This window comes from Homo sapiens, chromosome 16 (genome assembly GCF_000001405.40).
Source record: "Homo sapiens chromosome 16, GRCh38.p14 Primary Assembly".
In the NCBI taxonomy this organism is placed as follows: domain Eukaryota; kingdom Metazoa; phylum Chordata; class Mammalia; order Primates; family Hominidae; genus Homo; species Homo sapiens.
In genome coordinates, this window is record NC_000016.10 from 76,715,721 (window position 1) to 76,731,901 (window position 16,181).

A 16,181-nucleotide genomic window follows, 5' to 3' on the forward strand; every position below is an offset into this window, starting at 1 on the left:
ATTGAAGAAAGTGGTACATCTGTAATCAGATTATAGTCATTAATTTATCCTGAAGGGAAATAGAGAAACACATCCTGAATTTTTGTAGAGACTTGACTTTTTAGACAGTAGAGAGAGGAATTAAAGTTACCACAGATAAGGTAACTTTCAGCTGTAGAAACTTAACAGTTTTAGCTAAAGCAATGACTCAAATGCTCAATTAATTATATACGTACATGAATGCCTATCTATCTCTATACCTATGTCTGTGTCTGTCTATATCTATTTAAGGAAGTAGGAGTTTTTGCCAAGCAAAAAGGAAATTAATTCCTATAGCAGTTATCTTATTTTACCTGAAATTTGGGTCTCTTAATGAAAATAGAATAACAAAGAGTATTTATTACAAGAGTGGAAGTGAGGGGATCATAGCGAATGGGAGGCAGGACTAGATTGCAGCTCTGGACAGAGCAGCATGCGAAGCTTGCATTGTGAATTTTACCTCCGAATTGACTGCAAGAGCAAATCGTCAATCCCAGGAAGACCCACAGGCCCTCTGAAGGAAGTGGACTGCTCCTGCAGGACCCAGGAGACACCCCAAATACTCTGGGAGGTAGGTAGTCTTGGGCAAGTTTTCAAGCCCAGCTGACCCTCCACCTAGAAACAGGCTCAGGGCTGCTGTGGAGGGCACAGTGGGAGTGAGAGTAGCCCTTCGGTTTGCGTAGGAGCTAGGTGAGGCCTGTGACTGCCAACTTTCTCCCACTTCCCTGACAACCTGCATGACTCAGCAGAGGCAGTCATAATCCTCCTAGGTACACAACTCCAGTGACCTGGGAATCTCACCCTCATCCCCTACAGCAGTCGCAGCAAGATCCGCCCAAGGAGAGTCTGAGCTCAGACATGCCTAGCCTTACCCTCACCTGATGGTCCTTCCGTATCCACCCTGGTAGCAGAAGACAAAGGGCATATAATCTTGGGAGTTCTAGGGCCCCACACACTGCCAGGCCATCTCCACACTGCTATAGCTGATGCTGTCTGGAAAGCGCCACCTCCTAGTAGGAGGCCAACTAGCACAAAAACAGACCATTAAACCACCAAAGCTAAGGACCCTCACTGAGCCCAGTGTGCCCTCCACCATCTCCACCAGAACAGGCACTGGTATCCACAGGTGAGAGACCCATAGACGGCTCACATCACAGGACTCTGTGCAGACAACCCCCAGTACCTTCCCAGAGCCAGGTAGACTTGCTGGGTAGCTAGACCCAGAAGTGAGACAACAATCTCTGCAGTTCAGCTCACAGGAAGCCACATCCATAGGAAAAGGGGTAGAATACAACATCAAGGGAACACCCCATGGGACAAAAGAATCTGAACAACAGCCTTCAGCTCTAGACCTTCCCTCTGACAGAGCCTACCCAAATGTGAAGGAACAAGAAAACCAACCCTGGTAATACAGACAAAACAAGACTCTTCATCACCCCCGAAAAAATCACACTAGCTCACCAGCAGCGGATCCAAACAAAGAAGAAATCCCTGATTTACCTGAAAAAGAATTCAGGTCAGTTAATAAGCTAATCAAGGAGAAACCAGAGAAAGGTGAAGCCCAGTGCAAGGAAATCCAAAAAATGATACAAGAAGTGAAGGGAGAAATATTCAAGGAAATAGATAGCTTAAAGAAAAAACAGTCAAACATTCAGGAAACTTTGGACACACTTTTAGAAATGTGAAATGCTCTGGAAAGTCTCAGCAATAGAATTGATCAAGTAGAAGAAAGAAATTCAGAGCTCAAAGACAAGGTCTTCGAATTAACTGAATCCAACAAAGACAAGAAAAAAGAATCAGAAAATATGAACAAAGCCTCCAAGAATTCTGAGATTATATTAAGTGACCAAACCTAAGAATAATCGGTGTTCTTGAGGAAGAAGAGACTTCTAAAAGCCTGGAAACCATTTTTGCGGGAATAATCGAGGAAAACTCCCCTGGCCTTGCAAGAGACCTGGACAAAGAACACTTGGCAAATTCATCGCATAAAGATCTTTGCCTGTGCACATTGTCATCAGGTTATCCAAAGTTAAGAAAAGTGAGAGGGAGTAGCTATTCTTTTATCACACAAAACAAACTTTAAAGCAACAGCGGTTAAATCAGGAAGAATTAGATACCCTGAACAGACCAGTAACAAGCAGCGCAATTGAAATGGTGATTTAAAAATTACCAACAAAAAAAGTCCAGGACCAGATGATTCACAGCAGAATTCTACCAGACATTCAAAGAAGAATTGGTATCAATCCTTTTGACACTATTCCACAAGATAGATAAAGAAGGAACCCTCCTTAATTCGTTCTATGAATCCAGCATCACCCTAATACCAAAACCGGGAAAGGACATAAGCAATAAAGAAAACTACATAACCGATGTTTTTGATGAACATAGATGCTAAAATCCTTAACAAAATACTAGCGAGCCAAATCCAACAACATATCAAAAAGGTAATCCACCATGATCAAGTAAGTTTCATACCAGGGATGCAGGGGTGGTTTAACATACACAAGTCAATAAATGTGATACACCACATAAACAGAATTAAAAGCAAAAATCACATGATCATCTCAATAGATGCAGAAAAGCATTAGACAAACTCCAGCATCCCTTTATAATTAAAACTCTCAGCAAAATTGGCATACAAGGGACATACCTTAATGTAATAAAAGCCATCTATGACAGACCCAAAGACAACATATTACTGAATGGGGAGAAGTTGAAAGTGTTCCCTCTGAGAACTGGAAAAAGACAAGGATGCCCACTCTCACCACTCCTCTTCAACATAGTACTGAAAGTCCTAGCCAGAGCAGTCAGAGAAGAGAAAGAAAGAAAGAAAGAAAGGGCATCCAAATCGGTAAAGAGGAAGTCAAACTGTCATTGTTTGCTGACGATATGATCGTTTACCTTGAAAACCCTAAGGACTCCTCCAGAAAGCTCCTTGAACTGATAAAAGAACTCGGCAAAGCTTCCGGATACAAGATTGATGTACACACTCAGTAGCTCTTCTGTACACCAACAGTGACCAAGCAGAGGATCAAATTAAGAACTCAACCCCTTTTACGATAGCTGCAAAAAAAAAAAAAATTGAATATACCTAACGAAGGAGTCAAAAGACCCTTATAAGGAAAACTACAAAACACTGCTGAAAGAAATAATAGATGACACAAACAGATGGAAACACATCCCATGCTCACGGATGGATGGAATTAACATTGTGAAAATAACCATACTGCCAAAAGCAATCTAAAAATTCAATGCAATCTTCATCAGAACACCTCCATCATTTTTCACAGAATTAGAAAAAACAATTCTAAAATTCATATGGAACCAAAAAAGAGCCCACACAGCCAAAGCAAACTAAGCAAAAAGAACAAATCTAAAGGCCTCACACTACCTGATATCAAACTATACAATAAGGCCATAGTCTCCAAAACACTGTGGTACTGGTATAAAGATAGGCACAATGGAACAGAAAGAGAATCCAGAAATGAACCCAAATACTTACAGCCAACTTACCTTCAACAAAGCAAACAAAAATACAAAGTGGGGAAAGAACACCTTTTCAACAAATGGTGCTGGGATAATTGGCTAGCCACATGTAGGAGAATAAAACTGGATCCTCATCTCTCACCTTATACAAAAATCAACTCAAGATGGATTAAGGACTTAAACTTAAGACCTGAAACTATAAAAATTCTAGAAGATAACGTTGGAAAAACCTTTGTAGACATTGGCTTAGGTAAGCATTTCATGACCAAGAACCCAAAAACAAATGTAATAAAAACAAAGATAAATAGCTGGGACCTAATTAAACTAAAGAGCTTTTGCACAGCAAAAGAAACACTCAGCAGAGTAAACAGACAACCCACAGAGTGGGAGAAAATCTTCACAATCTACACATCTGACAAAGGACTGATATCCAGAATCTACAATGAACTCAAATCGGTAAGAACAAAACAATCCCATCAAAAAGTGGGCTAAGGACATGAATAGACAATTCTCAAATGGCCAACAAACATATGAAAAAATGCTCAACATCACTAACAATCAGGGAAGTGTAAATCAAAACCTGCAAGAATGGCCATAATAATAAAATCAAAAAACAGTAGATGTTGGTGTGGATGTGGTGAACAGGGAACATAACTATACTGCTGGTGGGAATGTAAACTAGTAAAGCCACTATGGAAAACAGTGCAGAGATTCCTTAAAGAGCTAAAAGTGGGGCCGGACATGGTGGCTCACGCCTGTAATCCCAGCACTTTGGGAGGCCGAGGTGGGTGGATCACCTAAGGTCAGAAGTTTGAGACCAGCCTGACCAATATGGTGAAACCCCATCTCTACTAAAAATATGAAAATTAGCCAGGCGTGGTGGCAGACGCCTGTAGTCCCAGCTACTCAGGAGGCTGAGACAGGAGAATTGCTTAAACCCAGGAGGTGGAGGTTGCAGTGAGCTGAGATCATGCCACTGCACTCCAGCCTGGGAGACAGAGAGAGACTGTGTCTCAAAAACAAAACTAAACTAAAAGTAGAACCACCATTTGATCCAGCAATCCCACTACCCAGTAGTGTGGGATTGCTGGATCAAATGGTGGTTCTACTTTTAGTTCTACTTTTACTGGGTAGTGAGATTGCTGGATCAAATGGTGGTTCTATAGAAAAAGAAGTCATTATTCGAAAAAGATACTTTCACATGCATGTTTATAGCAGCACAATTCACAATTGCAAAATCATGGAACCAACCCAAATGCCCATCAATCGACGAGTGGCTAAAGAAACAGCTGTGTATATGTATATATATAATATATACATATATAATAATATATAATATATACATATATAATAATATATATAGTATACGTACATATATGTATATATGTATACTATAATATGTAAAATAATATACAATAACATAATATATAATATATAATAATATATACATATATTTTATATGATGGAATGCTGTGCAGCCATAAAAAGGAATGAATTAACAGCATTTGCAGGGACCTGGGTAAGAGTGGAGACTATTATTCTAAGCGAAGTAACTCAGGAATGGAAAACCAAACATCGTATGTTCTCACTGATATGTGGGAGCTAAGCTGTGAGAACGCAAAGGCATAAAAATGTTATAATGGGCTTGGGGGACTTTGCGGGAAGAGTGGGAAGGGGGCGAGGAATAAAAGGCTGCAAATATGGTGCAGTGTATACTGCTTGGGTGATAGGTACACCAAAATCTCACAAATCACCACTAGAGAACTATGTAACCAAATACTACCTGTACCCCAAAACCTTATGGAAAAATGATAAATTGTCAATAAATAAAAAAAATAGTGGAAGTGTTCAGAAAAAGGTAGAGAAAGTTCCTTTAAATTGACTTAACATTGATATTATCACTGAATATGCACAATGTATTAATTATACATAGAATAAGAATGTACTGGGAAGTCTAAACAGCAGAGATCTGAATTAATAGGTAGGATGTAGTCAGATTCCATGCTAACTCACATTTAAAAGGTTTTTCATTATCTCAAAATAGAATAAAACATAGTTTGTTATTATCCATGGTAATCAAAAATATAGCTAGCGTAATGGATAAGTAATCCCTGAACCTCACCATAGGTCATGGTTTAGCTACCATCACAAAAACTTATCCAGAGCTGAAACTAAGGCACTAAACAGTCTCAGGTAACTTCTACTCTCCTTTCTTCTCATCATCCTTTGATTGGAAAGACAGAGTTCAAGTGGCTTATAGGAAATTTGCGGATAAGCAAGTATGCTTGTATAATGACAACACGAAAATACAAGTGTCTGGAGAAGCCAACTTGATATTTTTCACAATTAATGTAGAATACGCTGTCAGAAGGAGACCACCTATTTAAAACTTTTCTTACTTATAAGTTGATTCATAACATTTAGAATTTGAAGCAGCGTGTAGGCAACGATTTGTAAACCACCACCTATGGATGGAGACATTGGAAGTCATCATTTGGGGTGCTGTTCATGTGATCTATAAAATTGACTGGAGAATATTTACAGGATCAACACATTTCATTTCATCCAAAGGTGACAGTAGGCCCTGACTTTATGTATCAGTTTCTACTAACTTTGAAAATCAATCCATCAGGCCACTCCATTTCCCGTAGCAAATATTTAACCAACGTCATCAATGTCTCAAAGCACATAGTGTATGTTCAAGCACGGTGGTATTTAATACAATATTACTGAGGAACATTTTGGGTCTCAGTAAATAATGAATACAAAGATAACTATGCTCAAAGAAATTTACAAATAGTTCCTCTCTCAGAGATGGTACAATTTTTGTGCTTGTCAAATGAAAACAGTAATACTGGTTCAATTCTTTTTACTCTTTGTGAAACAGTAGCTACCAAAGGTTTATTTTTTTTTCTTTGGGTGATATTTCTAGATGAAGTGAAGTGCCTGAAAATTTCTTTTAATTTATTTGCAAAGCCGAATTCAGCACCATGATTCATTGTAACTGCTTCAGAACACCATGTGAGAATAAAAAATAAAAACTCAGTAGAAAGGAAAATTCAAAGCAAGCTGTTTGTTAGAATCAATTTTTTTTTTTTTTGCAAGCATAGCACTTCAATCTCAATAGTGTTTCAAAGCCTCCAAAGCTTATAATGGTGTTGATACATATATTTGTTCCTCTCTGAAAATAACAGTCCAAGAGATAATGAAACCATAATTTCAAAATATTGCAACCAATATAAAATGGCTACATGTGTGATTCTGAAACACTCTATATGAGCACTGTCTGTAAAATAATCATGTATTAAACACAAGGAGTAAGGAAAAATAATTTTTTTAAAGGGAAGGCAAAGCAAGGAAATACTCAATATTGTGAAATAGCACTCTATTCAAATCAACGTTTCATTAATCCAACTTGAATAAACTTAATTCCCTCCCACATCTTAATCAAGACAGCCTTGAAAGGATAGAAACTTGGAGATGGAGTTAAAAGTCAGTGAATTTAGCAAAGCCAATTTGTTCCTTTATGTAAGAAATTACATCAATATCAAATGCCTTTTCTTTTCTTTTCTTTTTTTTGAGATGGAGTTTTGCTTTGTCACCCCAGCTGGAGTGCAGTGGTGCGATCTCAGCTCACTGCAACCTCCACCTCCCGGGTTCAAGTGATTCTCCTGCCTCAGCCTCCCAAGTAGCTGGGATTACAGGCACCCGCCACCACGCCTGGCTAATTTTTGTATTTTTGTAGAGACAGGGTTTCGCCATGTTGGCCAGGCCAGTCTTGAACTCCTGACCTCAGTTGATCCGCCCAACTCGGCTTCCCAAAGGCTGGGATTACAGGCATGAGGAACCACACCGGCATATCAAAGGCCTTTTCTATCACACAGGAGTGCAATTTTAAACCCTTTTAGTATAGTCTTTAGATGATTGTGGAAAAATTGTATCTGTCGGTTTGTACATGCATACTCATAAGCGCATTACACAGTATATTTACTTGCAGCTGGCGTACATTGGGTGAAAAGGGGAGAGCTAACACTTATTTTTAAGTTTGGTTTTCTTTCTCATTTATCAAAGGGTTAAAATGAGGTTCCAGTTGTAGGTATGGTTGAATACAAAGTTTTGTTTGTATGTTTGTTATTTATGGATTCTCTCCAATATTTTTTGAAGTTCTTGGGAGTCTTCCAAAACATCGGTTGGAAATCAGTATGACAGTCCTAAGTTTCTTGTTTTATTAGTGGGAAGACTGGAGGTTAAATGACTTACCAAATACTATGTAATTGGCAGATGAACTTCTGAGACCAGCATCAGGGTCCTACTTTACCACACTGAAGAAACTTATTTTGACCTTTATTCTTGTGCCAGCAAGGCTTTCACTAGTTTTATTTCCCTTTAGTTTAAAAATATGTAACTGCCATTTTAAGATTTGAATTTAATTCTTCATGCAACACACTCTGTGATATAAAACAAAAATGAACATGTATCTTTTAAAAATTAGTATCATTTTGGACCTGGTGCTTTTGTTTCTTCTCCCCTTCAATACCTTCAGTAAACATTTCACAGTGAAATATTTCAAACTGTTTTCCAAAACCCTTTATTATGACATAATTGGTTTATAAATTTAGACTTGTTTGAAATTCTAATACCATAAGGAATGTATTAAAAGCCACACTCAGAAGAAAATCAATAAATGCATACAAAATATTTTTAATAATCTAAATCTACATATACTTTTTGTTTTCTGTACACACACGTGTATATGTATATGTATATATGTGTATATATAAGTGTGTGTGTACAGAGAACAAATATATATAGACAAATTACAGACTAAAAAATGTAAGTTAAATGATAAATAATAAACTGGAAAAATTTGCAACACATATGAAGATTTATTTTCTTGATTTGCAAAGAGCTTACACAAAACTGACAAAGTAAAATAACATACATATACACACATATCCGTATGCATACACACATATTTATGCAGATTCCAGAAAAGTAAGTATTAAAGAGAATACCATAAAGAAAAGATGTGGTAGTACACAAAACAGATTCTCTAAGAAGATGAAAAAATGATTTTATACCACTTGGTATCAAAGTGTTCACAATCTCTACTACATAATGATGTATGTAAAATTAAAAATCCTGCCAGTGATCAGGATTGGGAATGATCCAGCAGATTCAACAGGGAGACAACTATAAGTAGGTTTGGAAAGAGTAGATTTATGATATAAAATACTTCACATAGAAATCACTTTACATAAAAATGTAATGATATGCAAAGTTTTTTCCTAGAAACTGCTTTAAAATGTTTAAAGCATTTAAAAGAGAAAACTGGAATTGAGATGTCTAAAGATTATATATATTTAGAAAAATATTTTACTGATTCTAAAAATAGAGGGCGTTTACTAGCTAGTTCAATATGTGTATGTGTACACATCCATACACAGAAGCTAGTACACATACATATATTGCATCTGTAAATTTATTTGTATAAATGCATATTACTCTAACGTAGATATTTATATTGGTGTAATTATATGCGAGATTGACGTTCACAGAATAAAACATGGAATCTTATAACAACACTTGGGAATTTTTAATTTCTGAGATACCCCATTGCCCATGGTTAGAAACCACTTCATGTGGATCTGCAATTAATTTTGTAAACAAAGCTTTTTAATTTGCTTTAAAATTTTTGATATACATTTAAATTGTTGCTCAAAGCAAATTTACATAAAACCTTTGAACTTCTCTGAATTAAATCACATACCCTTGGAAGTAAATTAGGACCTGTGAGAGCTCTTATTGACTGACTTTCAGAGTAGGTGTGTTCATTTATATTTCTTTGAGTGTTTTGTCATTTCCAAGTTAAAAAATTTTTAGATTAGAATTTTACATTTCAGGAGTTTTAATGAGCAACTTTTAGTCATAAAAATCACAGCCAATAATTTTTAGGTAGACATGGTTTTCTTGGAGTTGTTTTAATAAACTATACTCATTTTTAGCGAACACCTTTCTATGTAGTATCCAACTCACTGATTTTGCAAGCTCCTGAGTCAAGTAATCATGTGAAAATACTCGCATTGTTTAATTATTGAAGGGGTAAAATAATAATTTTATTGATGGCATTTGAAATTTAATAAGATTTCTGCAATGTATTTTGGAAGCCTTAAAATATATACTATATCATTGTTTTCAGAGGGTGGAAATTTTAGGAGTTGCTGCTTTTGAATGTCTTCATTGCTTCACATATTATTTTCTATTATATGTTTTAACAATGAAGACATTTAAATGATTCTTTATAAATGCATGTCACTTATATTTCATATTTAAAATGTTCAAGGAAACAGTCCAACACAAAGATGTCTTTTATTACTTCCTCACTACCTGTTACTGCTATGCAACAATTTACATCCTTTTTTAAATTTTTCCTGATTTAAGGCAACTCCATCCTTCCAATAGCTCAGGTCAAAATCCTTGTGGTCGTCCTTGATGCCTGTTTCTCTCTCATACTCTCCATTCAATTTGTCTGCATAATCTGTCAGCGATGTGTCATAATACCCCAGAAACCAGCCACTCTCAGAAACCAGCGTTCCCTGCTGCCCGCAGTGTCTGAGTAGCCTTCTCTTTGCCTGCGTCACTGTAGTAGACTCCTAACATCCAGCCTTTGGCTTTTGTCTTGCTCCCGTCAGTTTCTTCTCAGCACGACCACTAGAGTGGTTCTGCAAATATAAAAACTAGCTCTTCACACTCTCCTGTGTCTGCCCATTTCATTCAGGGTCTTGCATGGCTCATGAAGCTCTCAGGGTGCCCCCAACACCATCTCCCACCTCATCTTGACTCTCCCACCTGCTCTCTGTAGTCCAGCCACAACTGGCCTCACTACTGTTCTTTGGACACTCCAAACATGTTCTCACTTGAGGCCATTGGACCTGGCTCTTTCATCTGATATGAATGCCTTTTCCCAGAAAGAATCAAGTTTGCAATACATCCTAGTATGTCCACAAGATTTAGAATTTTACCACCACCTCCAAGAATCCCACACTGTATTTTTTAAACACCTGACTCTGCTTTGCTGTTCTCATTATTCATATAGTATTTATCAATGTCTAATATCTTATGTGATATATTTATTTGCTTTTTTTTTTGTAATCTATCTTGCTTTTTAATGATACATGCTACCGTGAGGTTAAAAAGTCACCAATACTCCCAAAGCACAGTACCACGGATATAGTATGTGCTGAATAGATATTTGAATAAATACATTTCAGTGTCTTTATCTTAATATTCACCCGAAATTCTATTTAGTAATAACACTCTAGATATCATCATGATAAGATAGTAAACCTAAATGACTTTGGATGTTAGATATAAAAATACTAATTTTTTTCTCAGTAGAACTTTGACAGAGTAATTATTAAATACCAACTGGAATATTAAGGGCAGCTTACAGCTTAAGGTCCCTTACACAATAGCTAGCCTTGTTTTATATACTGCAGGGGCTTGTCTATTCAATAGAAGAGATAGAAAGGCTCACCAACATGAAATATGAATAGTCCATGAAGTTCTCACAAAGACATAGACATGGCCAGAAGAGGATTCTTGTAACTTTGGATCAAGCTGTAAATTAATTAGGAAATTAATTTAACATTTCTAGAATGGGAGAATGGATGTGATTTATAAAACAATGAAGGCATTTATTTCAGGCTGAGGCTAGACATTATGGAAAGGTACAAAAATGGTAAATCTGGGGATCTTCATGAACTAGAGGACATGAATTGGTGAGGAATGAAAAGTGAGTGTCCTTAGACAAGAAATGGTCAGTTTGTGATACACTTTTTCAGCCATGACAAGATTTTCTCTGATGTGTTTAAAAATCATGAATGTTGCAATGTTAAGACTAAGTAAAGTAACTGAAAAAATTGCTAATTCTTATATGTAATTACACTATAAGTTTTTAGTACCTGTTTCTGAGCCAAATTGATATTAATAATTTTAAAATACCGTAATTGTAAGAGTAATTTGTTACACTAAATCTTTTGATACATGAATTAAAAAATTGTATTTTCAATATAATTAATTTATATAACATGTATTATATAAAGTTACAATTATGTATATATCTTAATAAATATTAAGACTTAAATCATTCATGTGATTTATATGAGACTAAATAATTTGTACATCATCATATATATCTGATGGGTCTAATCCCTAGGTAGTGTAATTTTAGATAAAATTATCATTCTACTTGAAATTCTAAATTTAAGTTAAACTTAGAAAAAAAGCAGAGGTCACTTTGAATTGGTTTTGGGTACGTGGTTTTGGGTAAGTAAAACTATCTAGGGGATCATACATTTCTTGTACACAAGAGAAAAGTTAATGCATTTACTATTCATATGGCATAAAAATAACTATTCATATTGCAATGAAGTATTTTTCTTTAGAATATTAGAATAGTCAAGCATTACATCTCTTTCTGTAAATAAGGTATAAATATTTTCAGTCAATGAAAGTCATCACTTCTATTTGGATCAAAATTCCCAAGGATAAACTTTATATTAAATTTTCATCATTAAAAATGGCCTATTTCTATAGAGATTATCAAACATTAAGATGGCATAATTCAGAATAAACAACTTGCCTAATTGAAACCTGACTACAGTACTAGGTGTTATCTCTATTTATATTTTATGGTTTGCTTCTTTTAATTTTCTCTTTTGCTTCTGAGGGAATTTAAAAAGCATTTAAAATTAGCTTCTAGCTTTCAATAGCAGCTAGAAGGACATGTGTGCGGATAGCATTGGTATCAATTAAAATTCTGATCATTCCTTTTTTGCCCCTAAGAGTAAGATCAGCATTTTTAGAATGGGAATAAAAAGGCAAAGCTAAACAATATTCTAGTTATTTCCTCAAAATTGAAATTGCAAGAAATTAAACAGGAGTTTAATTAACACACTGTTTTGAGCCTTTTTAGGTAAGTTCTGAGAGGAATGCTCTTGAAAAGTAGTGGTTCAGGTTTGCTTTCTGTGAATGAGGTTTGGTTTTCAGAACTTCATTCAATAGTAATTTAATTACTAAGATAGACTAATTTTAGCCTTGGGAGATAGTATTTGTGCAAAGTATTTATTTACTCTTCTCCTGAAACTTACTTGAAAACAAAACCTTGCTATACCTCTTCTCACAAGCCTCTCATCCTAGATTGTTCCTGTATTTGTGGCTAAAAGCTCTATGAAAATTTACTGTAAAAGTTCATTTTTCTGCAGTTACCAAGGAGGAATTTCAATTGCACATGATACCCAAAGCCAGTTCATCTCAAGAAAGGGTTGAGGAGAATGAGAGGAAAGGCAGTTAGGTCACTAAAAATTGATTCTATTACTCTTGCCATGTGTTTATGACAGCATGTCCTAAAGTTGTTCTGTACTTTTCTTCAGATATAAAGATTAATTTTAATGGAATAGAATATCAATCTATTAATTATAAATTTATAATTTAATTTATTTATGTCTGTCTCTTTTTTGTCTCTCAGTGGTTGATTAATTCATGTTAATATACTGTGGGCCATAAAGTATGCATTTAAAAGTTGGATACCGTTCACTGCATAAGTTGGATAGAGAAAATTGAACAATATATAAATTTAGCTAGTGGAAATTGATGACAGAACAGTATTTAAAAAAAACACTTGCAGCCTTAATAAACTACCCGTCAACAATGATGATGACTTCTCACTCATGCTAGAGGTGATAAACGTGCAGATGTATAAATGAGAGATGAGCTGACAATGAACAGACTTAGAAATTAACAGCATTCTAGGTTATTACAGAGAATGGTTATCAAGCCCAGTGGACACTCCACATGTTTCAATTAAGATCAAGCTATTAGAAATGACTCACTGGAAGGTAGTAACTCAACTTCTAAAAAAAGTAGTATCTCTAGGAAATCTCCTTTAAAGAAAGCCAGAGGCAGAAGGAAGGCATTAATATATTAATGATTCATATTACAGATTCAGATGACTCAAAAATGTCATTCATGGCTCAATTTTTTAAAGCATGACTTAAGTATTGAAATCTAGAATAAGCTGCTGTTAGTCCAAATATCGGTTAAATGTGTCTTAAGCAGGAAAAAAAGTGACACATTAAGAATCGGCTGAAGAGTGATTAACGAAAACATACTTGCCAAGACACTAGTAGGTTTAAGGTAATCCTACAAAGGATGCTAATGTATTTTGGGAAGCAAGAAACCTTAATTCAGTTGGATGCTGGTTCGTGTTTATCAACTGGCTCTGGTGACAGGGAGTGGGGCTCTGATTTATAACATGTGCCAATTTCTGCCATGTAAATATTCCCGCTGTGGCTGATTTTAGACTGTGTTTAACAATCACCTCATAAAATTCCTGACAATTTGACAATTGCATCTTATAAGCCACTGGAGTCAGCTCTTGCACAGCACTGGCCAGAAGGGGCAGAGGGAGGGAGCTCTGCTAGTGACTGATGACTCACATTTTGCAGTTTAGAAAGTGAGGTTTTAATCCTGACTTTGCTAGTTATTTGCCTGGCAACTTTGAACAAGTTATGCATATTTACTGAGCTGAAGTTTTGTCACCAGTAAAATGGTACTAATGGCTTTACTAACATCATAAAGTTAGTGTAATGATTAAATAAGGTGATGCATGTAAAACATTTTGAAGAATATCTGACAAAGAGTAATTTTTTAACAAGTAGTATTTATTGCCTATTTATTGCCCATACATGCAAGCCTCCATTTATTATGAGAATTACAGCTATTACATTTTTAATGCTTTTGCTTGAGGTGTGCCTATAATTTTATTTCTGTTAATCACAGACCGCTCTTAAAAATAAATTCTCACTGACTTGAAAGTCAAATACATATCAATTTTAGTTTCCCAAAGCTCATGTAGTTTAATGTTGTTATTTTTAATTGTCATCCTGTAGATGAAAGCAAACAATAACACTCTAATGAATATTTAAGTATGGCCGATTCTCCTGCCTCGGCCTTCAGAGTAGCTGGGACTACAGCTGCGTGCCACCATGCCCAGCTAATTTTTGTATTTTTAGTAGAGACGGGGTTTCATCGTGTTGATCAGGATGGTCTCGATCTCTTGACCTTGTGATCAGCCTGCCTCAGCCTCCCAAAGTGCTGTGATTACAGACATGAGCCACCAAGCCTGGCCAAGTTTCCTTTTTAAACATTTCTTTCCTCTTGGAATAAATGCAGAGAATACGATGTGTTATTGTTTGAAGAATACGATGATGAGTGACAGACTATGGTATACCCCATTGTTTTTCACTTTTATTCTGTCAGTTGTTTTCTTTTTGTTTCAATGTAACATTTCTCCACAACTTTGCACCTCTGTCTTCTCAAGTTTGGAATTATCTTACAGCCTCTCCAATCACATATCCTTATAAAGTGTCAACAAATAACTTTCACTCACAATATCTATTCTAATTCTCAACATCGTCCTTCTGAAGTAAGCACTACATTTGGATGTGGATATTGTGGTTCATGGAAGTTAAGTATTTTGCCCCAAATGATACATGTAATAGCGACAGATCTGGAATCTGAATTCAGGCCAGTTGGATACCAAGTTAGTGATGTATTCAAGAGGCAGAATGACACAACCGAGCAGGAGAAGAGAGGACTTTTGTTGGGAACCATTAGCTCAGGAAGCATGGGTTGAGGCAGAAGAGATGTTAAAACTACAGTCCGGTGGAAAATCAGTTAAAGTCATTTGTATTAAGAAAAACTAAAACTAAGAGTAAGTCTTTGGACTGATAAACTACTAATCACAGGGAGTTGAAGGATGACTTTGCTTTTTGTCAAGCAGAACTTCCAGAGCAGATGAGAACATATACAAAGGTCATGACCCTGTTGAAATGGTCTTAGGAGAAGAGTTTCCTTTTTATTGTTATTATTTTTTATTTATTTATTTATTTATTTTTTTGAGACGGAGTCTCCCTCTGTTGCCAGGCTGGAGTGTAGTGGCGCAATCTCGGCTCACTGCAACCTCTGCCTCCCAGGTTCAAACGATTCTCCTGCCTCGGCCTCCAGAGTAGCTGGGACTACAGGTGAGCGCCACCATGCCCAGCTAATTTTTGTATTTTTAGTAGAGACGGGGTTTCATCATGTTGATCAGGATGGTCTCCATCTCTTGACCTTGTGATCAGCCCGCCTCGGCCTCCCAAAGTGCTGTGATTACAGACATGAGCCACCAAGCCTGGCCAAGTTTCCTTTTTAAACATTTCTTTCCTCTTGGAATAAATGCAGAGACCAGCTGTATTAGGGAATTCTGGTAAGAGTCTTCTACTGGGGACCTGTGATAGGGGAAGACAAATTGGATTGGATCAGGAAAGGGTTCAGGTTTAGTTCACAATATTTGATAGAGAAACAATTTGATGTTTCCCAGTAATGGGCCAGTCCTAATTTTTGAGGTCTAATCAGTTACTTTGCTCCATTTTATATAAACATTATTGTCCCCTGTGGAGAATGTTCATAGAAATGACTTTAGTCTGTGTGAGATGACATTTAATTTGTACTTGTAAAACTGCTTTAAAGTGTAAATTTGACATGTGCTCCTCAGGAGAGTAATTTGGGTATGGCATGCAGAGATTTAATAAAAATAAATCAAAACACATACTTTCTTACAAATATGTTTTTAA

At 36.1% G+C, this 16,181-nt stretch overlaps 1 annotated feature.

The window, feature by feature from the left end:
* Positions 366-1,565: an enhancer, noted in NCBI's record as "MED14-independent group 3 enhancer chr16:76749983-76751182 (GRCh37/hg19 assembly coordinates)". NCBI's record gives its function as "activates an origin of replication core promoter dependent on BRD2, BRD4, P300/CBP and CDK7 cofactors, and independent of MED14, by STARR-seq in HCT116 cells {active_cell/tissue: HCT116}" and the evidence as "EXISTENCE:reporter gene assay evidence [ECO:0000049][PMID:35650434]".